The 22,586-nt window shown below is 43.0% G+C and overlaps 1 protein-coding gene across 2 annotated transcripts in view, besides 7 other annotated features; it reads right to left on the bottom strand.

Moving 5' to 3' along the window:
- The window catches only part of MACF1 (microtubule actin crosslinking factor 1), a 402,972-nt gene that overhangs the window by 255,424 nt on the left and 124,962 nt on the right, over positions 1-22,586 (bottom strand). For both annotated transcript variants that reach the window (NM_012090.5, NM_001394062.1), the window contains exon 2: positions 472-533. In NM_012090.5, coding sequence (NP_036222.3) covers positions 472-533 — 62 coding nt within the window. The remainder of the gene's footprint in view (positions 1-471; positions 534-22,586) is intronic.
- Positions 629-698: an enhancer, noted in NCBI's record as "active region_809". NCBI's record gives its function as "activates an Ori minimal core promoter by ATAC-STARR-seq in GM12878 lymphoblastoid cells {active_cell/tissue: GM12878}" and the evidence as "EXISTENCE:reporter gene assay evidence [ECO:0000049][PMID:35858748]".
- Positions 719-788: an enhancer, noted in NCBI's record as "active region_808". NCBI's record gives its function as "activates an Ori minimal core promoter by ATAC-STARR-seq in GM12878 lymphoblastoid cells {active_cell/tissue: GM12878}" and the evidence as "EXISTENCE:reporter gene assay evidence [ECO:0000049][PMID:35858748]".
- Positions 6,165-6,358: a silencer, noted in NCBI's record as "fragment chr1:39691029-39691222 (GRCh37/hg19 assembly coordinates)". NCBI's record gives its function as "represses an EF-1alpha promoter that drives an FKBP-Casp9 reporter gene in an ReSE screen in K562 erythroleukemia cells {active_cell/tissue: K562}" and the evidence as "EXISTENCE:reporter gene assay evidence [ECO:0000049][PMID:32094911]".
- Positions 13,915-13,964: a silencer, noted in NCBI's record as "silent region_697". NCBI's record gives its function as "represses an Ori minimal core promoter by ATAC-STARR-seq in GM12878 lymphoblastoid cells {active_cell/tissue: GM12878}" and the evidence as "EXISTENCE:reporter gene assay evidence [ECO:0000049][PMID:35858748]".
- Positions 14,085-14,134: a silencer, noted in NCBI's record as "silent region_696". NCBI's record gives its function as "represses an Ori minimal core promoter by ATAC-STARR-seq in GM12878 lymphoblastoid cells {active_cell/tissue: GM12878}" and the evidence as "EXISTENCE:reporter gene assay evidence [ECO:0000049][PMID:35858748]".
- Positions 16,708-16,817: an enhancer, noted in NCBI's record as "active region_807". NCBI's record gives its function as "activates an Ori minimal core promoter by ATAC-STARR-seq in GM12878 lymphoblastoid cells {active_cell/tissue: GM12878}" and the evidence as "EXISTENCE:reporter gene assay evidence [ECO:0000049][PMID:35858748]".
- Positions 17,196-17,914: an enhancer, noted in NCBI's record as "OCT4-H3K27ac-H3K4me1 hESC enhancer chr1:39679473-39680191 (GRCh37/hg19 assembly coordinates)". NCBI's record gives its function as "activates a minimal SCP1, AML or CMV promoter by ChIP-STARR-seq in primed H9 embryonic stem cells {active_cell/tissue: H9 hESC(primed)}" and the evidence as "EXISTENCE:reporter gene assay evidence [ECO:0000049][PMID:30033119]".

Raw genomic sequence — 22,586 nt, 5'->3', positions numbered from 1 at the left:
TTAATAAATTAAAAAAAAAAAGAAACAGGCTTATAAAGCAATGTATAAAGCTAGGAATAAACTGTTCTTCGAATTTTTAAAATCATCCCATGGTATCTTCAGCCTCTGCCTCCTGATGTAATGGTAGGTAATAATGTCTTCACCAAGAAGCAGATTAATACAAGTTTCCATGCCATTATGACTATATTAGTTTTCAAAAAGCTGGGCATGGTGGCTCATGCCTGTAATCCCAGCACTTTGGAGGCTGAGGCAGTAGGATTGCTTGAGCCCAGGAGTTTGAGAACAGCCTGAGCAACATGGCAAGACCCCTTCTCTATTAAAAAAGAAAAGAAGAGAAAAGAAAAGTCACATGTGTATCTTCATAGACTTGAGCACACAGCAAGCAATCTAAACCATCTGAAAGAAGGAATGACAGATCCAGATGAGAGCAGTGAGAGGTGCTGGGGCAGCATATATATGAAAGGGTCCTACCTTCATTAAGTGCTTGTTGACCCACTTGGTGAACGTTTTCTTCTGAACCCGGTCCCGTTCATCTGTAAAGGAAACACAGAGAAGGCACTGGCTTAGTGCTACCCAGGTAACAGGTTCCCACGCTGCTGCCCTGCCCACATCTCTGTTTCTCTAGAACAACTTACCCACATAACTGTGGGACAGTGACTTCTTCTTAGGAAGGTTTGGCCTAGCTGAACTTCCTCTTTGGCCCTGATCACGTTGTCAGTTTACAAATCAGACAGAATCACCACGTGCCTCAAAAATCATACCATGGCAAAGTCTCCTTAGCACAATAATTTGAGCAGAGCAGGGAGCAGACTGATTCCCCACTTCCCTCACAACAAGCTTCAAAAAGCCAAAGCCGTGATACCACCAACAGACAGGGTGGCCTTGGCATTTGGGACACACATATTGCAGTGGTTAAATTTCACTCTTCATGTGCTGATCTGCCTGAGGAATGCCCAACTCCCTCCCTCTCCTACCCCAGGAATTCCTTCATTCCAATTTCTTTACCAGCCATTATCAAAACAATCAAACTCTCAAAGCTGCCCAGCTTACCCCCACTGCACATCTCTTCCCTCTCTACCTTCTCCTGTCACAGCAGCAAACTCCTTTTTTCTCCAGGTTTTTTTTTTTTTACCTCTTTAACAAAAACATGACTGTCAATGCTTGACAATGACTGCTCCACAGAGGCCTTATCCTGTAAAGGACTTACTTTCTCCGACTCCTGCCAATTCCCCAGAGCCATTTCTAGACCAGTGAGCCATCAGTCCTGGTCCTTTTCTATTTCTGAAAGCCCACACCATCCCATATAACCTCTTGTTCAAATCATCCTCACTGTCATTGACCATGCTCCGTGGCCTATCCCCTTCCACATGGCAAATCTACCTTAGCCTTCCCCGATGACTTGGTTCATTTATCATCTCTACATATACGTGAAGATATATGTGACAATGCATCTGTGCCTACTTGGCTCCACTGGCACTCATCTCCAATTCATGTCCAGCCACCACACTGCCACATTTTGGGCCTTATTCCTTCCCCAAACATACCTATTTAGCACTTACCATTATCAGTCTCTCATACCCTCTCCTAATCATTCTCAACCTTCAATCACTCCATTCTTATTTTACCCTATTCATTAAGGACATCTACAGCCAGGCCTTGGCATTTGGGACACACATATTGCAGTGGCTCATGCCTTGTAATCCCAGCAGTTTGGGAGGCTGAGGCCGGTGGATCACTTGAGCTCAAGAGTTGGAGACCAGCCTGGCCAACATGGTAAAACCCCACCTCTGCTAAAAATACAAAAATTGGCCAGGTGGTGGTGTGCACCTGTAGTCCTAGCTACTCAAGAGGCTGAGGTGGGAGGGTGGGAGGATCACTTGAACCTGGGAGGTGGACGTTGCAGTGAGCCGTGATTACACCACTGCACTCCAGCCTGGGTGACAGAGTAAGACACAATCTCATAAAAAGAAAAAGAACATCTAAGATTATCCCAGTCCATGCTAGACAACATGGTTATGCAATTCAAAGCTGCCCTCACTAATACCCCAGGAACTCCCCCTGCCTAACTGCCTACTACTACATTCACCATGACAATCTGCAAACCTAAATTACCATAACTGCCCGCTGCTTGACTCTTCCATATCTTTTCCAAGACAGAGAACATTTCGGAAGAAAGTTGCAGAGGTATATAAATCTGGTTCACTAGTAATTCATACAAGCTTCAGCCAGGTTCTCTCCCCAAGCCCAGTTATTTTCTTCTTATTGATCCCCTAGGAAAAGCCAACATACTGCCATTCCAAACAATGTCAATGCTTGTTCTACATCCCAGGTGAATATATTTATCTATTTATTTTTTTTGAGTTTATAGCCATTCAATAAGTACTTTCTTATCTTGGTCTCTGGTTTTATCCTCACATCCTTCTTTTCGGCCTTGAATCCTTTCTTGCTTTGCAAGGAACAATTTTCTTCCTACTATAAACTACAGCACTAAGGTATGGACCTTAGAAATTATATAGTCTAATTCTCTGCTGACACACAAATCCCTTCAACAACAAAGAATCATAAGTTCACATTGAAAGGTCTCTCCAAATCTCCCATAAATCTACAATATTCTTGATGTTTAAAATTTAGGATAATAGAGAATTCACTAATTCATAAGACAAAGTACCAATGTAATAATTCTATAAAATGTCATAATCTGCTTTCCTTGTAACTTCTGCCTATTGACTCTCATTTGGGACTGTTAGAAGTATTATTATTAGGCTGGGTGTGGTGGCTCACGCCTGTAATCCCAGCACTTTGGGAGGCTGAGGTGGGCAGATCAGCTGAAGTGGGGAGTTCAAGACCAGCCTGACCAACATGGTGAAACCCCGTCTCTACTAAAAATACAAAAATTAGCTGGACATGGTGGCGCATGCCTGCAATCCCAGCTACTCGGGAGGCTGAGGCAGGAGAATCGCTTGAACCCAGGAGGCGGAGGTTGCAGTGAGCTGAGATCGTGCCATTGCACTCCAGCCTGGCAAGAGGGCAAGACTCCATCTCAAAAAAATAAAAAAGTATTATTATTAGACTTAAAAGTTTAATCCATCTTTCACTTAATGGAGTCTTGAAAGTATCTAAAGCCAGGATTCTCATTAGATTTGATCACTGTCATTCCAACATATTTTGATCTTTTTAGATGCTGATTCAGTTATCCAACATCTTCATCAACCTTTCCAAGCCCGTGTCATCTGCAGACTGAATCAGAATCAGCTTCCAACTATAGTCTCATCGAAATCACTGACTCTTTGCTCATACTACTTATTTTCCCTTCATGACTGGCTACTTCTCTTCCTCTTCATCTCTCCAAATGGTATTTATTCTTTAAAATCCACCTCGTTCATTCCCTTTTTTTGTCTGTTTTTGAGACAGAGTTTCGCTTTTGTCACCCAGGCTGGAGTGCAATGGTGCGATCTCGGCTCAGTGCAACTCTGCCCCCTGGGTTCCAGCGATTCTCCTGCCTCAGCCTCCAGAGTAGCTGCGATTACAGGTGCCCACCCACCACGTCCGGCTAATTTTTTATTTTTAGTAGAGACAGGGTTTCACCATATGGGCCAGGCTGTTCTCAAACTCCTGACCTCAGGTGATCCACCCGCGTTGGCCTCCCAAAATGCTGGGATTACAGGCACCTGGCCTCATTTATTCTTTAAATAAGAGAAACAACTTCAAAACAGGTTGATTAAGTGCTATAACAGGTAAGCACAGAGTGCTCATGAACATAAGAGGTTAAGCCTACCTGGGTAGGGACAGGAAATATGGGGGACTTAATGAAGTTTCAAGGAGGAGTGACTCTATCTAACCTTAAAAGATGAGTATAAGCCAGAAAGAGAAGGGAAGGAATAAAGTTGCTACATAAAGTTATAGCTAATGCAAATTCATGGAGACAAGAAAAAGCTTATGTTCAAAGAACTGCACATAATTAGGAATAGCTGAAAGACAACTAGGTAGTGGCGAGATAGGATGGTATGGGCCAAATCAAGACCTTTCATGACAAGCTTAAGGAACCCGAACTTTATCCTATAGGTAAGGGGAAGCATTGAAAGATTTTAAATTGGAGAATGACATGCTCAGATTTGTGTTTAAGAAAAATTTTGGCTGCCTTTTCTGACAACTCCAGTTCTCAACAGTCTCTGTGTCCTCCAAATATCTATGTTACTTACTGGGCTAATCACTCAATCAGCACTTATATAATTATATAGTGTTCTGAACTTTTAATATGCTTATTCTTATATTACCAGGGAGATCATTAACTCCTTGAAGAGAACATGATTTACTTTTTTGTATTTCCCACAACTTGCAACACCTAAAGTTCTACATAGTAAGAACTAAAACATAAAACCACCGGAGAGCGTTCTCAATTGGCCAAGTATGATTAGAAGATTGGTAAAAGAAACACACAAAATGAAATCAGAACTGAGTTACCTACAAGAATCCAGTTCAATATCTAAAAACCTCAAAACCATGCCAGGCAAGGTGGCTTATGCCTGTAATCCTAGCACTTTGGGAGGCCGAGGCAGAAGGATCACTTGAGCCTGGGAGTTTGAGGCTGCAGCAAGCTATCATTGTGCCACTGCACTCTAGCAGGGACAACAGACTGAGACCCTGCCTGAAAAAACAAAATCACAACACGCCAGTATCACTTGTGTGCTGAGATAAGAAGGCAGGGTGGAAAAATCAGAGCTAACTAAAGTTGTGTCCATTACATTTTCACACGATATCAGGCCCACTGTGCTTCACTATATTCATTACCTTCATAGCCAAAAACAGTCTGATTCTAATTTTAAAAATTCTCACTCTAAAGATAGAAGTGTTTTTTCTTTTTTTTATAATTTCTTTTTTTTATAAAAGCTATGTATGTTTGCTGTAATAGGTCAAACAACACACAGATGAAAAAGGAAAAAGTTAACAGATTTTCTTTTAAACTAGTAAGTATTTAAAGGAGGTGGAATTCATTCGGTTTCCTTTTAGTCCACTGCCTCATTTCATTTAGACCTGAATATGTGAGTAGCATGATTCTTTTTAATTTTACTATCCATAGGCCAGGCGCGGTGGCTCACACCTGTAATCCCAGCACTTTGGGAGGCTGAGGCGGGTGGATCACGAGGTCAGGCGTTCGAGACCAGCCTGACCAACATAGTAAAACCCCGTCTCTACTAAAAATACAAAAATTAGCTGGGCGTGGTGGCACACGCCTGTAATCCCAGCTACTCGGAAGGCTGACGCAGGAGAACTGCTTCAACCTGGGAGGCGGAGGTTGCAGTGAGCTGAGATCGTGCCACTGCATTCCAGCTCGGGCAACAGCGCAAGACTCCATCTCAAAAAAAAAAAAAAAATACTATCCATAAATTATTCTGTTCATCTACCAAGCCCTTCCATAACGGTAATGTACTAAGGAAACCTGATGGCCTCATACCAATCATGCTTCCAAAAGCTAAAAAGCTGACTTTAAGCTCAGGAGAAAGACGTTTAAGTACTTATTGTGAATATAATCATTAAAGGCAACATGATTACAAGCCCTTCCCAAGACTAGCTAGCCTGCTTAGAGCTGAGCCATAAGCTCCTCAGAAAAGGGTTTTATAGAATTCCTTTGCCCCTAAGAGCTGGAAGATCATTTTTTAGGATCCTATGTTGGTATGCCCATCAATTACATGAAAGTTCTTTCCTGGTTTAAACTTCAGGATAAAAGAATATTACAGTGCCTGGAGTTTAATATCTTAATTTTTAGCAAGGAAATCCAAGAAGCAACCTTAAGAATTATGCTGACCTTCAGAATAATAGCTCAGACTCTCAAACTATTTAATAAGTTTTATATTGGCTCCTTGCACATAAATCCCTAGTTTAACCCAGGCCTAGCAAAGATCTTTCTGACTAACATTGAAGGTTAGGCAGAAAGATAAAACTGAGGTAAAAGTCTCAGAAAGTACCCTTATGTGAGAGGAAAACGGGCAAAGAAAAGGCAATATTCATTTTAATGTTCTTTATAATCTCAGCCCCACCAAAGGCTATAAACAAACAAGAGAGAGCCCACTCCCCACCACCAGCATCTCTACAGAAGCAGAGAACCCTACTGTCCATCTAAGTTTCAGATTTAACACTTTAAACCTTATTAATTACTTGGGGGTTACTGAATTAGAAGGCTTAAATTAGAAAAATTTGCTATGGCCGGGCGTGGTGGCTCACGCCTGTAATCCCAGCACTTTGGGAGGCCGAGGCGGGTGGATCATGAGGTCAGGAGATCGAGACCATCCTGGCTAACAAGGTGAAACCCTGTCTCTACTAAAAATACAAAAAATTAGCCGGGCGCGGTGGCGGGCGCCTGTAGTCCCAGCTACTCGGGAGGCTGAGGCAGGAGAATGGCGTGAACCCGGGAAGCGGAGCTTGCAGTGAGCCGAGATTGCGCCACTGCAGTCCGCAGTCCGGCCTGGGCGACAGAGCGAGACTCCGTCTCAAAAAAAAAAGAAAAAAGAAAAATTTGCTATTTGTTGTTGTTTTGAGACAGGGTCTCATTCTGTTTCCCAGGCTGGAATGCAGCAGCATGATCATAGTTCACTATAATCTTGAACCCCTAGGCTCAAGCAATCCTCCTGCTTCAGCCTCCCAAGTATCTAGGACTGCAGGTGCATGCCATCATGTGTGGCTATTTTTAAACTTTTTGTAGAGACAGGGTGTCAGTATGTTGTCCAGGCTGATCTCAAACTCCTGGCCTCATGTGATCCTCCCACCTCAGCCTCCCAAAACGCTGGGATTACAGACATGAGCCACTGTATCCGGCCTAATTAGAAGGATTTAATACTTGTTTCCAACTTTACTGATCTTCGTCAACAAGGGTCTCTGAGCATCATGCTATCAATACCTATCCTAATTTTATTTTAGTTTCATTGCCAGAGTTGTCCCTTTTCAGAATCTAAGTCAGTCCTTCTACCTAAAATCTGGATCTCTTTGCTGCTCTTCTCCATAGGAAACTTAATCCAACAATACTCCCTAGTCTGTATATCTTCAACTGCTCTCTCTCTCTCCTGGTTCTCTCCTGTTGGCTTCTGAACAAGTATGATGACAACACTCAGACTTCACTTCCCCACCTCCTATTTATTCTATGTGACCTGGATTCCAGCCCCACAAATTCACTGAAATTGCTCTCCCCACAGTCACCTAATTGCCAACCCAATGGATAGTTTTGAGTTCTATCTCACTTAAACTCTCTGTAGCAGAAGACACTGGTGATCATTCCTTCACCTTTTAAATTGACTCTCTCTCTTGAATCTGAGATTCCATTCTACCCTAGTTTTCTGCCTTCTTCTTTGGTTGTTTCTTCTCTTCTGTTCATCCCTTAAACATTACTCATCCTTAGCCCTCTTTTCTTTTCATTCTGTATTATAGCTTCTTCAGATGTCCAAGGACCCAAGAGTCCACTAATGGGTTTTGGAGAGGGAGTGTTCAGGAACCACCTAAAATTACATGCAAAATGTTTTGTGTCATGTGTGTATGGGGGGGAGTAGGGGGATGTCCATAGCTTTTCAATAAAAATTAAAAATAGCTGTTCTTTACATTCTCCCTTAATGATTTAATGAACATCCATAGTTTCAGCTGTGACCTATACAATGATAATTTCCAAATCTGTATCTTTAGCTCAGGCCTTTACCACTCTCATATATCCAATGGCCTCCTAAAACTTCCATGCTCATCTCAAACTCAACTTGTCTAAAACTGAACTCTTCTTTTCTCCTTGCTTCTGACAGATATCCCTGCTGTAATCCATCCTTCTCAATGGTGTCAGCAACCTTTCTGGCAAGGTTAATCTTGTAACTTAAAATCCTTCAGTGAGCCCTTATTCTCCCAATATTATTAATAGTTGACATTTAGGCTGGGTGCAGTGGCTCCCACCTGTAATCCCAGCACTTTGGGAGGCAGAAGCGGGCAGATCACTGGAGGTCAGGAGTTCAAAACCAGCCCGGCCTACTTGGTGAACCCCTGTCTCTACTAAAAATACAAAAATTAGCCAGACGTGGTGGCAGGCACCTGTAAAATACCAGCTACTTGGTTGGCCAAGGCACGAGGATCACTTGAACCCAGGAGGCGGAGGTCACAGTGAGCCAAGATGGCACCACTGAACTCCTCCTGCCTAGATGACAGTGAGATTCTGTCTTAAAAAAAAAAAAAAAATTAAATAGCATTTATTCAGCACCTACTTAGGTGCTAAGCACCTTGTATCTATTCTTTCTAATGCTCAACAACTCTGTAAGTTAGCCAGAAAAATAAAGTCCAGACAGATGAAGCAGCTTGCCCAAGATCACAAGGTAAGTCATGAAGTCAAACTTGAACCCAGCTCTACCCAGTTCCAAAGCCTGATGCTTCCATTTGGGATAACAGTCAAACTTTTTAGCTTGGGAGCTAAGATCCATTATGATGGAATGCCTACCTTCCACTCATCCCTCTACCTTTCCATAAAAACTTCCAGCCTTGTTTAAAAAATTTCCTGCAAATGGGGCAGGTTTTCTCTCAGTTCCATGCCTTTGCACATACTCTGTGAATATAGCTCTCCCCTTCTCTGACTACTCATTCTTCAGCCTTCAACTCAACTATCCCCTCCTCCAGGAGCTTTTCCCATCTCTTACACACACTAGTTTGTGTGCTTATTGCATGGTATCACTGTTTACTTGTTTATCTGTCCTACTCTACTAGGAGAAATTTGAGAGTAGGCCTGACGTCAAATGAAAGCCTGCATTTGAGGGGCAAAATTCTATGTTCTGATCCAACATAGCCTACCCACATAGTCCCAGTACATTACGAACCATTCAAAAAACAAGTGAGAGAAGAGCCTCTCCTGTTTCCAAAGGCCACAGAAAAATGACAAGTGCTTCAAGAAGCCCAGAAACACCAACCACCTGGAAATCTAAAAAGGATATACCACAGCTGACACAGAAGGGAAGTAGAGTTGGAATAGTCCTGTTTTGTGACCGCATGAAGTTTACAATCTAGTGGTGGAGAACAACATGTAAATAATTAACAATAACACCAAGCAAATAACACACCAGACACAAGCTGCACAAAATGACACTATAGCACAAGCATAGAGTTGATTAATCCTCACAGAGAGGTAGGAGGTGTTCATGGAAGGCGTGATAGAACTATACCTGATCTTAGACAAAAGGCTACGAAGTGAACGGTGTCTGAACTAAACCTTGGATAACGAGTAGGATTCTGGCAGCCCAAAAAGGAGTCAAAGGATTCCAAACTTAAAAAAAGCACAAGTAGGCTGGGCATGGTGGCTCATGCCTATAATCCCTGCACTTTCAGAGGTTAAGGTGTGTGGATCACTTGAGCTCAGGAGTTCAAGACCAGCCTGGGCAATATGACAAAACTCTGTCTCTACAAAAAATACAAAAATAAGCCAGGCATGGTGGCTTGCGCCTGTGGTCCCAGCTACTTGGGTGGCTGAGGTGGGAGGGTCACTTGAGCCCAGGAGGCAGAGGTTGCAGTGAGCCAAGATTGTGTCACTGCCCTCCAGCCTGGGTGACAGCAAGACCCTGTCTCAAAAAGAAATTTTTTTTTTTTAATTTACAAAGCACAAGTAGTGATTTGGAGACATGTAAGTATACAGGATGTGTTTTAGGGAACAGTATGGCTATTACATGCATGACCATACCATGCAGTTAGCAGTGTGATGAGCAACCAGGCTAACAGAACAGCTAGCTGACATCACAAAGGACCCAGAAAGCTAGAGTAAGGAGTACGTACTTAATTAAGTAGACAAAGCAGAACCACTGAAATTTTCTGACCCACAGTATGTTTTGGGAAGACTAATCTGGCTTTGGACTGAAGGCCACATTATACCAGAAAGACACTAAGAGGCAGAAGAACCAGTTAGAAGTCTCCAGTGACAGACCAGGAGAAACATCTTGAAATAGCATGAATTAGGGCAGAGGCAGCAGGAAAGTAAAGAAGAGGGCAGGTACCTCTACGTTGTCATGCAATGTAGAGGTAGAAACAATAGCCTTTAGCTATTTTAAATAGCCTTTTAAATAGCCTTTAGATGTGGTGGCGGGTAAGGAATGGCAGAGTTCAAGACAATTCTCATGCTTCTAGCCACAGCAACTGGGAGGAGAGTAGAACTTCAAGATAATGAAAACAGAAAGAGGTTACCGATTTGGTGAGGGTACATTGGGTAAAGGAGAAGACAAAGAGTGAGGTGTTAGGAGGATCTTCTCACAGACAGTTGGAATCTTTGGTCTAGAGTTCAGAAGAGCAGTCAGAACTGAAGATAAGGAATTGGAGTTAAAAATTGATAGCTGTGGCAAATAGAGAGCAAACAGCCTATTTCGACAAATCTTCCTAATCACCACTTAGCCCACATCACCTCTCTCTCTATTCAAAATCCTTTACGGATTTGATCACTTTAGTTTTAGAATTCAAAGCTCTCTACAACCCTATAAAATTCAATTGCAGTTTTTATTCACTACGTTTTCGGTGGTTCAAGAAGATAAAGAACTGGTCTCTGACCTGAAGAAATTTACAATCTATCTACCTTTCACTCTCCCCTGCATGACTCAACTGCAACCATTCCGATCTTCTTACTGTTTCCAAACATACCTTTCGCATCTGTCCTACTCTACTAGGAGCAACCTTTCCCCCAACTGGAATATCTACCCTCTTCTCTTGGGGCTTGTCTAACTTAGAACCTCCTTTCAAAGTCCAGCTGAAGTCTTGCTTCTGTTACACCTTTCCGGACATGTCAGCCACCTTTGGATGCCTATGGCACTTTAAAGTTTCTTCAATTTACTTAGCACTAAGCATATAAAACCTATCATTAGAAAGCTCTGTATCTAAGTCCATTTCTGTATCTGAATTGAGCTCTTTCAAGTCAAGATCCATGCTTTAAACTTCATTAAAGGCCAGCCAGGGGCAGTGGCTCACACCTGTAATCCCAGAACTTTGGGAGGCCGAGGTGGGTGGATCACTTGAGGTCCGGAGTTCAAGACCAGCCTGGCCAATATGGGGAACCTCGACTCTACCCAAAAAAAGACAAAAATTAGCCAGGTGTGGTGGTGCACGCATGTAATCCCAGCTACTCGGGAGGCTGACGCAGGAGAATCGCTTGAACTCGGGAGGCAGAGGCTGCAGTGAGCTGAGATTGCGCCACTGCACTCCCGCCTGGGTGGCAGAGTAAGATTCTGTCTTAAAAAAAAAAAAAAAAAAATTCATTAAAGGCCAGAAGCAGTGGCTCACACCTGTAATCCCAGCATTTTGGGAGGCTGAGGTGGGCAGATCACTTGAGGTCAGGAGTTCGAGACCAGCCTGGCCAATATGGTGAAACCCCATCTCTACTAAAAATACAAAAATTAGCCAGGCAAGGTGGTGCGCTCCTGTAATCCCAGCTACTCAGGAGGCTGAGGTAGGAAAATGGCTTGAACCTGGGAGGCAGAGGTTGCGAGCTGAGATTGTGCCACTGCACTCCAGCCTGGGCAATAGAGCAAGACTCCATCTCAAAAAAAAATTTTTTTTTCATTAAATATCCAACATTTAGGACAACCATAGGTATTGAAAAATATTCATTTAACAAATATATAATCACAGTCCTCTAGGTGTCAAGGTTATAGCTACAAGACACATTAAGATGGTATTTTCAGGCCAGGCACTGTGGCTCTCACGCCTGCCATCCCAGCACTTTGGGAGGCTGAGGTGGGCAGATCACCTGAGGTCAGGAGTTCGAGACTAGCCTGGCCAACATGGCAAAACCCCGTCTCTACTAAAAATACAAAAATGAGCTGGGAGTGGTGGCACAAGCCTGTAATCCCAGCTACTCGGGAGGCTGAGGCAGGAAAACTGCTTGGACCCGGGCGGCAGAGGTTGCAGTGAGCTGAGATGGCACCACTGCAATCCAGCCTGGGTGACAGAGTGAGACTCCATCTCAAAAAAAGACTGCTTTTCAGCAGGGAGCAGGTACTCCCACTCAGATATTCCCTCTACAGATTCAGCTTTCCTAAATTCTCCTTGCCACATCTTGATCCTGGGGATTTTGAACCACTTAATGTTCCCAATGTAAGCGCAAAGGAAATTGGTGAAATTGGAGGTCAAGCAATTAAAATGTGTTCAGCAATAATGTATAATGGCACAAACATTATAAATGATTGCTATCCTCAGAAGGCTACAAAAGTCTACTTTGGGAGATAAGGTGGAGCTCGATATTTATTGTGTTTATTATGTATCAGGTGCTGTTTGAGGCTTATCTCATTTAGTATTTGACAATCCTCACAACTCTCTCAAGTATGCTTATTCATGGTTCAGCAAATTCATGCTCAGAAAGACTTGTTAGTAATCTTCCCAAAGTCACGCAGTATACAGCAGAATTGAGATTCAAATCCAAGTCTGTCAGATCATAGACTTTTAACCTCCATAAATTTATTAGAAGACAATACAATGCAGTCCTATATAATCAAGTTAAAGGAAAAGTACTAACTATAATAGGGATTCATGAAAGGCATTTATCACCAATGACTGGTGTAGGCTGAGAAAGTACCAATGAGGATTGAGATTTGGGGTTTTAAGGAAGTGACAACTGTAGAAGCTTCAATGCAAAATTAAAATTCTACCTTATTTCTGCCGGGTGTGATGGCTCATGCCTGTAATCCCAGCACTTTGGGAGGCTGAGATGGGTGGATCACTTGAGGTCAGGAGCTCGAGACCAACCTGGCCAACATGGTGAAACCCCGTCTCCACTAAAAGTACAAAAATCAGCCAGGTGTGGTGGCACACGCCTGTAATCCCAGCTACTTGGGAGGCTGAGGCAGGAGAATCACTTGGACCTGGGAAGCAGAGGTTGCAGTGAGCCGAGATCGCCCCATTGCACTCCAGCCTGGACAACAGAGCAAAGCAGGACTCTGTCTCAAAAAACAAAACAAAACAAAAATTTACCTTATTTCTTAGGAAAACCTAATATTATAATGATAATTCTTTGGACTATTAAGAATCACAGAATAAAGGAAAGAAGTAAGATAAAGAAATCCAGGGGTAAGCACGGTAACAAAAGAAGAGAGCCACAGTGAGAGGGAGGCACATATAAGAACACAAGAGGAAGAAAAGCTCAATAGTTCTTAGAGAATTCACGGGAATATCACAGTCAGAAAAACGAAGCATTTCATAAATACAAAGAGAGAGTTTTAAGAGTCCTCAAAAATCATCTTAAAGATGAAGAAACCAAGGCCCAGAGAGATTAAATAATTTAGACAAGGTCACACAGGGGCAGAACTAGGTCTATAACTTGGATTTCCTGGTGTCTAGTCTATGGTTCATACCTTTGCATGACATTCATTTCCCTTCTTTGAGCCTGAGTTTCATCTATAAAATTAGGCATTTGTCCTTTGTTATTTTTAAAATTTTATTTTTATCTCCAACTCTGCAAATAAAATGAGGAGTTAGGCCAATAGTTCCTAAATATCAGTCTGTAAACCAGCCATCTCAAAATCATCTGGGAAGCTTTTTTTTTTTTTTTTTTTTTTGAGACGGAGTCTCGCTCTGTCGCCCAGGCTGGAGTGCACTGGTGTGATCTCGGCTCACTGCAACCTCCACCTCCTGGGTTTACGCCATTCTCCTGCCTCAGCCTCCCGAGTAGCTAGGACTACAAGCACCCGCCACCATGCCCAGCTAATTTTTTGTATTTTTAGTACAGACAGGGTTTCACCGTGTCAGCCAGGATGGTCTCGATCTCCTGACCTCGTGATCCGCCCGCCTCGGCCTCCCAAAGTGCTGGGATTACAGGCATGAGCCACTGTGACCGACCTCTTTTTTTTTTTTTTTTTGAGACAGGGTCTTGCTCTATCACCCAGGCTGGAGTGGATCCCGGCTCACTGAAATCTCTGCCTCCCAGGCTCAAGCGATCTTCCCTCCTCAGCCGCGCCCCCAACCCCACCCCCAGTAGCTGGGACTATAGGCGCACGCCACCACACCCTGCTAACTTGTATTTTTGGTAGAGATGGGGTTTCACCATATTGCTCAGGCTGGTCTTGAACTCTTGACCTCAACTGATCCGCCCTCCTTGGCCTCCCAAAGTGCTGCGATTATAGGCATGAGCCACCACACCCGGCTGATTTAGAGTCTGTTTTAATCCCTTTTTTAAGCAATGAGGTTTGAATAGTAATTTTATTTATTTTTATTTTTTTGAGAGGGATCACTTGAGGTCAGGAACTCAAGACCAGCCAAGGCAACATGGCGAAACCCCATCTCTACCAAAAATACAAAAATTAGCCAGGTGTGGTGATGCGTGCCTGTAATTCCAGCTACTTGGAAGGCTGAGGCAGGAGAATCGTTTGAGCCCCTGAGGTGGAGGCTGCAGTGAGCCAAGATCATACCACTGCACTCCAGCCTGAGCAACAGAGTAAGACTCCGTCTCTAAAATAAAATAAAATAAAATAAAATAAAATAAAATAAAATAAAATAAAATAGACCCTAAATCATGAAGTGATTGTGAGGAGTATATGATATGAAAGCACTTAGCCTAGTCTCTCACACATAATAAGTTAATAAATGCTAGCTGGTAGTTACAGTAGTAATATAATGTGAAAAGTATATAACATGAAAATCCACTGCTAATCTTCATTCATTCTCCCTATACAAGTGATTTTATTTTACGGTGATATGAAAAAAAGAAAAATAAAAAATGAGGTAACCGAGCTAGAGAAAGGTTAAGCAATGTCCCCAGTTGGTTTTGTTGTTAAGTGGTGGAGTAGGAACCCCGTGTAGACAGTTGATGCCAAGCCCATTTTCTTAGCTATTAGTCTACAGTGCCTTTAGGGGATTATGTGGGATTGGGGGAGATGGGGCTACATTACGTTTTTGCCCTGAAACTTTCAATAAAGATTTTAGACTTTCCTATACTTCTTTGTTGGTTACAGGAAAGGCCCTTTTGCTATACGTTTATCTCCAAGCACTTTTAGATATAGGCAATTCTTTCTTCTAGGTTCCAGGGAAGAAATCTCAATGATACAGGAAAGATAAAAAAAAAAAGTAGACCACTAAAATTGCCCCCTCTGTGCCCCAAGCATTATTGCTATGGCAGCTTTTTTTCCTCAAAAAGCACCTAAATACTTGCAAGCACTAGCCTAGGAGTCAGGAGACTGATCAGAACCCTAGTTCTGTTGCTCTCCTTCTCTGAGATTTTTCTAAGGTCTCCTCTTCATCAAACAACTAGTTACTTCAATTTTAATGAAAATCTGCCTATTTGGGTCACAATTTTGCTCCTTGTTAGAGACTCAAAGTATAAAATCAAAAGATAGTAGATTACCAAACCAGTGGTTCCCAAACTAAGATTTCATAGACAAATACATGTTCCACAATAAATCAGAAAGCCTAACAGAAGTTGTCACTTTTCATTTTGCTAAGTAGGGATATCTTAAAAACACACTACCATATAATAACAATTCTTTCATAAAATAAAGGATATTTTAACATTAGAAAGTAGGAGAGACAATTTCAGAATAAAAGACAATTCTTTAAGTTTAGCTTTATGAAAGACACACTACATTTTCTTTATCTTTTTTCATTTTACAGAGAATTGATGTCTCTCAGTCTAGCACCAGTCTGTATACCCTACAATTTTGAAACCAAGGAAACCTACGGCCAAAAAGGTTAAGTCACTTGTTCAAGGCCACAGGACATTACTTAAATAATCATTATTTAATGATGCCTTATCAAGAGAGATCTAAGTCACAGCTAACATGACTCTTCCCCTAGCCTCTCTTATTTAGGTCCCTGACCCCAGATCATCTTTGAGTCTTTTTCTCTCTCTGTCACAGCTGGCAGAGTAAAGTGTAAAAGAACTAGCAATAAGCCCCAAAGAGGAAACATAGGCCATGACTCCTCCCTCCCACCCCCCATCCTCCCGCCAGTCTGCTCAGAGGTGGACTCCGTAACCAACCAACTTCTGCTAAAAATACACTCTGGACTTTCAGCACTATGCAACATACCTTAAAAGTGGTTTCCTGATACAGGCAGAAGCATGAGCATGAATTCAGTCTCTATAAAAAAAGTTCTACACCCAAAGCTTGGGCTCTTAACTGCCAGTTACTGCAAGCTTAAGAAGTTCCCCAGGAAGTAGGGCACCCCAATCTATTCCACTGCACATTTTAACAAGCCTAAAGGTTGTAACACCACAAGGCTTCGAAGTCCATGCATTCCTATGAGTCAATGAGAGCAAGGGCTATTTGGGATCCTCAGGCCCGGACAAGCAAAAAAAAAAAAAACTTCACATACTAACCCATACAGCACATGCGACAAACCAGGTGGGCGTTGAACTCGTGTTCATCTTGGTAACTCGGCCACATGGCGCCCCTGTGTCTGCTGACCCCACCTAAAAGGAGGGGGTACCAAAGAACCTCCAGCTACTGGCCTGTGCACCCTTCGCAGCTCCTCAAAAAGGGCTGTGAGGTGTAGAGAGGAGACAGCAGAACAGAGAAGTGGCTCCACCCACCACTTCCTACTGACCTCCTTCTTCCCTTGAGGTCAGAGAGGAAGCTCCTCCCTAGGGCACTTCCAAAAACTGGGTCCATGTCTCAGGCATATAGCATGCTGCATGCTGTTCAAAAGTAGCACCAACTCTGTGTTTCCAGACCAATAGAGCGTACAGAGGGGAGAGCTCCATATGCAAAAGTCCAGTCAAGGTATGAAGTGAGTAAACCTGAGTAGGAAGAAACTGGTCTTTGAGTTACCCTCCATTTGCAGAGCAGAAGCTTGTAATGTGGTGAATCTTAGTTGCAGGAGAGCTGGTGAGCTAAGTGGTTTACTGCCAAGTCAGGAACAGTGCATCCATTGCCCAACAACTTGCTCCTCAGGTGTGCCTCTTCTCAGGCAGAAGTACATATAGTGTTAACCAAATGAGAAGGTCTCATGATGGGAGAGACTATAATGGAGCAAGCTCATACACTCACCGTCCACTGTGAACAGATCCCTAGATTCCAAAGAAAGTTTCCCTTCCCCGCACTTACAGCTGCCAAAAGGGAAGAGTCAGTAACTCCCCAGTGATTCCACCTACTTTACAGAGTAGCCCCACCTCAGCCAGCCTCGCCTCAGCCAGCCTCCCAGGTAGATTATCACAGCAAATTTTATCAGCTTCAAAAATACCGTTTGCTTGTTGCTCCATTCTTTCCCCTCACAGCCAGGAATGGCATTCCAAAGTCCCCTTCTTCTTCCCAGATCCTCCTACTCTGTCTTTACAGTCAGTGCACTTAACTCAGCTGTGCCAGAAATCCTTTCATCCATCAGTAGAAGGCTGCCTGCTTGTTTGTCCAACTTGTTTTCCGAGTCTTGGCTAATTGTACCAGACACTGGAATGTTGAAGAAACACAATGAAGGGCTTTTTCATTCAGCTGGCCCAGCCCTTCTATTGGTTCTTCACAGTTCTAACCCAACCAGGGGACAGAAAAGTCCAGCCTCTGTGGGTGTCAGGACAGACACTGCAGCCCTGCCCCACACCACTCAAAAAGGCCCCGCTGCAGATAAGGGCCTAATCACTGGCCCTCTGCTCTAGCTCCCTAAATAGAACGACTTCTTCAGGCTAATGCTGCTTTCAATCCTGTTCCTGAAGGCAGGGAGGGAGGAGGGGCAGCACCTAGGAAAGCAAGTTTCCAGAGATTAGCCCAAACGACTACAAATGAAAAAAAGTAAATGCAAGCTTTCCTAGCAGACCATTCAGTTTAAACAAGCCCTATGACCTGCCTCAGTTGCTTGACAACTTCACTCCCAAGTGGGTATCCCTCCCACCTACAAACTGCTAATAATCCTGTTACTGCTTACTAATAAAGGTTCTCACAGCTGACTTTATCCCGCCTAGACTAAGCTCTCAGTCACCCTGATAACCTGTGACAACTGTACTCAGTTTGTCCCTCTTATAAGACTCTTTTTAGCCTTGGAGATGAAGGGTCCTCCTAGAATTTGCCTCGTACTGGGAAAAGGAATGCATAAGAAATAGGGAAGAGAGAAAAAAAGGAATGAACATTTCCTGACTCATATCTAGTAACCTCTTCCTTTATCAGATTTAAATTCCCTGAGTGAGACTGAGTGCAGTGGCTCACGCCTGTAATCCTAGCACTTTAGGAGGCCAAGGCGGGTAAACTGCCTGAGCTCAGGAGTTCGAGACCACCCTGGGGCCAACACGGTAAAACCCCGACTCTAACTAAAATACAAAAAAAATTAGCTGGGCGTGGTGGCACATGCCTGTAATCCCAGCTACTTGAGAGGCTGAGGCAGGAGAACTGCTTGAACCCGGGAGGTAGAAGTTGCAGTGAGCCGAGATTGTGCCACTGCACTCCAGCCTGGGCCACAGAGCGAGACTCTCTCAAAAATAAAAAATAAAAAAATAAATTATCTGAGTGTAGGGACTCTTTTGTCTCCATAACCCCATCTCTATCACATTTAGAAGGTACTCAATAACCTAAGCTAAAATTAACTGAACATTTACTATAACTGTTAGTTCACAGTTAATGTGCTAAAAACTTTAAATATCATTTCATTTAATCCCAACAATTCTCCAAGAAAGATATTATCATTTCCATTTTAGAGATAAAAATTCTAGGACTTTAAAAGGTTAAATAACTTGACCAAGATTACATGTCCATTTGTCCAGCTCCAAAGCTGTGCTCCCTGTTATACCCTGCTGTCTCTGAGAAGGACCTAAACCAGAATAAACAAACAAAGGCATAGGAGTTGTATATGTAAGAAGGTGAAATATTCTTGGGAAGGGTAACAAATAAAAACATTTAACTCGGCCAGGCACAGTGGCTTACGCCTATAATGCCAGCACTTTTGGGAGGCCAAGGTGGGCAGATCACTTGAGGTAAGGAGTTAGAGACCACCCTGGCCAACATGGCGAAACCCCACCTCTACTAAAAAAATACAAAAATTAGCCGGGCATGGCGGCACATGCCTGTAATTCCAGATACCTGGGAGGCTGAGGCACGAGAATCACTTGAACTCCAGAGGCAGAGGTTGCTGTGAGCCGAGATTGCGCCACTGCACTCCAGCCGGGGCGACAGAATGAGACTATGTCTCAAAATAAAAAATAAAAAATACTTAACTGGTTGACCAGAGATTTAGGACACATCCAAAATGAACACATGTGGCAACTTCTAGAAATACTGAATTCACAGTCTCTAAAAATCAAAATAATAATTACTGGGTGAAGTTGGAGGAAAGTGAACCAAAATCTGCCATCTCCTAAATTCCCTGGCACTCAAGCAGAACCTATTTCTCCTAACGGCACTGCAGACTGAGAAAAGTAGGGTAGAGTCTTGGGGACAAGGTCAGTCTACCTACAGGAGACAGGCCTTCCCTTCAAGTTCCCAAGAGGTCCTGAGCCTCAAAAAGAGGCAAGTTCTGCTGCAATGGAGGAGAGGACTTTGATTAGGACAGTCAGCTCTTAACTATCCAGAGGAGATGGGCCAGTAGAGTCATCCGAGCCATTCCCCTTCTTTTTTTCCCAACTTTTGTCATTTCCTGTTAAAGGTAGGAAAAAGTTTAAGTCTGGCTGCTACCTGCAGATCTTGAAAAGGGTGAGTGGAGGGAAGAGGTTCAGGCCAGTATTTCCACATGTGGTCAGAAGTTATCTGAGAATTGACAGCTACTGGCTTTCTTACAGAAACAAAGAAAATTGAAGGTATATACTTAATGTCTTTCCTAAAATGCCAAAATCACCCACTATTAAGGATATAAAAGACACAAACATCTTTCTTAACGTATAAAACAGTGATCATAATATATCACCTACTTTTTATATACCTCTGTATTGGGTTCTGTCACATTTCTTTTTTTTGAGACAGAGTCTTGCTCTGTTGCCCAGGCTAGAGTGCAGTGGCTTGATCTCGGCTCGCTGCAACCTCTGCCTCTCGGGTTCAAGCGATTCTCCTGCCTCCACTTCCCAAGTAGCTGGGATTACAGGCGCCCACCACAGCACCTGGCTAATTTTTGTATTTTTAGTAGAGACAGGGTTTTACCATCTTGGCCAGGCTGGTTTTGAGCTCCTGACCTCATGATCCACCCACCTCAGCCTCCCAAAATGTCAGGATTACAGGCGTGAGCCACCATGCCCGGCATGTCACATTTCTTAATTACTAACTATAAAGACAGGCCGGGTGCCGGTGGCTCAAGCCTGTAATCCCAGCACTTTGGGAGGCCGACGTGGAGGATTGCTTGAGTCCAGGAGTTCGAGACCAGCATGGGCAACATGGAGAAACCCGGTCTCTATATATGAAATTTTTTTTAAATTTAAAAAATTAAAAAATAAGGACAATTACTGTTTCATCCCAACAGTTCACAGGAAAGCACTATGTCTTCAATGTTATCTTATGTGAAAAAATTCTAATAATGATGGTAAATAATCACATATTCCTTACCACATGCAGAATGTGTTCTAAGAACTAAGTCAAGGCTGGGCGTGGTGGCTCATGCATGTAATCCCAGAACTCTGAGAGGCCAAGATGGACGGATCACTTGAGGTCAGGAGTTCAAGTTCAGCCTGGCCAACATGGTAAAACCCCACTTCTACTAAAAATACAAAAATTAAACTGGGTGTGGTGGCAGACACCTGTAATCCCAGCTACTCGGGAGGCTGAGGCAGGAGAATCACTTGAACCCAGGAGGCAGAGGTTGCAGTGAGCTGAGATTATGCCACTGCACTCCAGCCTGGGCGACAAAGCAAGACTCCATCAAAAAAGGGAGCGAGGGAGGGAGGGAAGGAGGGAAAGAAGGGAAAGAGAGAGGGAGGGAGGGAGGGAGAGAGGGGAAAACAACTAAGTCAAAACAACCAAGCAGCATAATTAAACCCATTTTGCAGATGAGGAAAACAGAGGCCCAGATAAACTAATGTCACTCAGCCAGTAGTGGCAGAACTAGGATAAAAACATAGGCAATCTGACTCCAGACTCTCAACCTGCTCTCAACCACAATTCCATATGACTTCCAAGAACAGGCCAGATGATCGAACTGAATCAGAATCACAGAAAGTTAGAGACCTTAGTCTTTTTTCTTCTCAAACAGCCTAGAAATTTGAAGACCAGAGGAAGTAAGTGACCAGTCCAACATGTAAGCAGAAGAGCAAGAGCTTAGAGCCTAGATCTTCTGATTCCAAGTTAAGTGGTTTTTCTACTACACCATACAAATCTTTAAGAAAAAAAAAATGCAAAGGAAAGAAAAAGAGCCAGGCATGGTAGAGGGTGCCTATAGTCCCAGCTACTTGGGAGGCTAAGGTGGGAGGAGGCTTGAAATTCAAGTTCAGGATGGGCAACATAGCAAAACCTCGTCTCTTTTTTTTTTTTAAAAAAAGGAAAGGAATGGAAAAGACAAAGACTCTACCTTGATTAAACATTCTAATGCTTTAGCTATTTGAGCAAAGATATGTTAGATATATGACCATTTATTCAAATATCTGAGTTCCTTTTATGCACTTAACTAGTTTGTAGATGACACAAATGGAGGACACACAGTTATTGCCATAAATGGAAGAATTAAAGCTCAAAGAAATCTCAAAAGGTTAGAAGCCTGCACCAAATCTCACAGGACAAAATTTAACTAGAATACCTGTAAGTCTTTTTTTTTTTTTTCTCCTGAGATGGAGTCTCACTCTGTTGCCCAGGCTGGAATGCAGGGGTGCAATCTTGGCTCACTGCAACCTCTGCCTCCTGGGTTCAAGTGATTCTCCCACCTCAGCCTCCCAAGTAGCTGGGATTACAGGCGCACACCACCACACCCAGCTAATTTTTTTATTTTTTGGTAGAGATGGGGTTTCACCATGTTGGCCAAGCTGGTCTCAAATTCCTGACCTCAAGTGATCCCCATGCCTTGACCTCCCAAAGTGCTAGGATTACAGGCGTGAACCACCATGCCTGGCTCTAGGATACCTATAAGTCTTATGCTGAAGTTCAAGAAAACCAAGGGCATAGCAGCGACTAGAAGGGAGACAACAACAATTCATGTACAAGGTTTGGCCATTTTATAATTGATCTTAGGTTTAATATAACCCAATAGTATGATAAAGGGAACTGCTTTAAATAAAAAAAAACCCAGGATGGGGAGGTGATGGAATACAATCTTAGACTGTATTTCATATAGTTTGGATCCAGGGATTATGGCTGTTCCTCCTAGTGGGATGCTGAAAACGGAGAGAACTTTAAAAGATCATATTATCCAACTCCTTCACTTTACAGGTAAGGAAAACAAGACCCTAGAGAGGAAAAAAACCATAAAGCTCTTTTCCTGTTTACACTATCACAATGTGAGATTTAATAAAATAAAACACAGGGCAACTCTGTATCATCTAATTAACCTATACTGAGCATCCTACCTTAGATCACACATTAAACTCAACCAAACCCTCTTAATAGACAAATGAACAGGGCATGGTTCCTGCTACAGTTTACAGCTAGTGCCATCTTTAATTTTTTATTCAAGTTAATATTTACTGATTTTTTTTTTTTTTAGATGGAGTTTCACTCTTGTTGCCCAGGCTGGAGTGGAATGGTGAGATCTCGGCTCACTGCAACCTCCGCCTCCCCAGTAGCTGGGATTAC

The sequence above is a fragment of the Homo sapiens genome, chromosome 1, assembly GCF_000001405.40.
Source record: "Homo sapiens chromosome 1, GRCh38.p14 Primary Assembly".
In the NCBI taxonomy this organism is placed as follows: Eukaryota; Metazoa; Chordata; class Mammalia; order Primates; family Hominidae; genus Homo; species Homo sapiens.
This window is presented reverse-complemented; position numbering and strand designations above follow the sequence as displayed.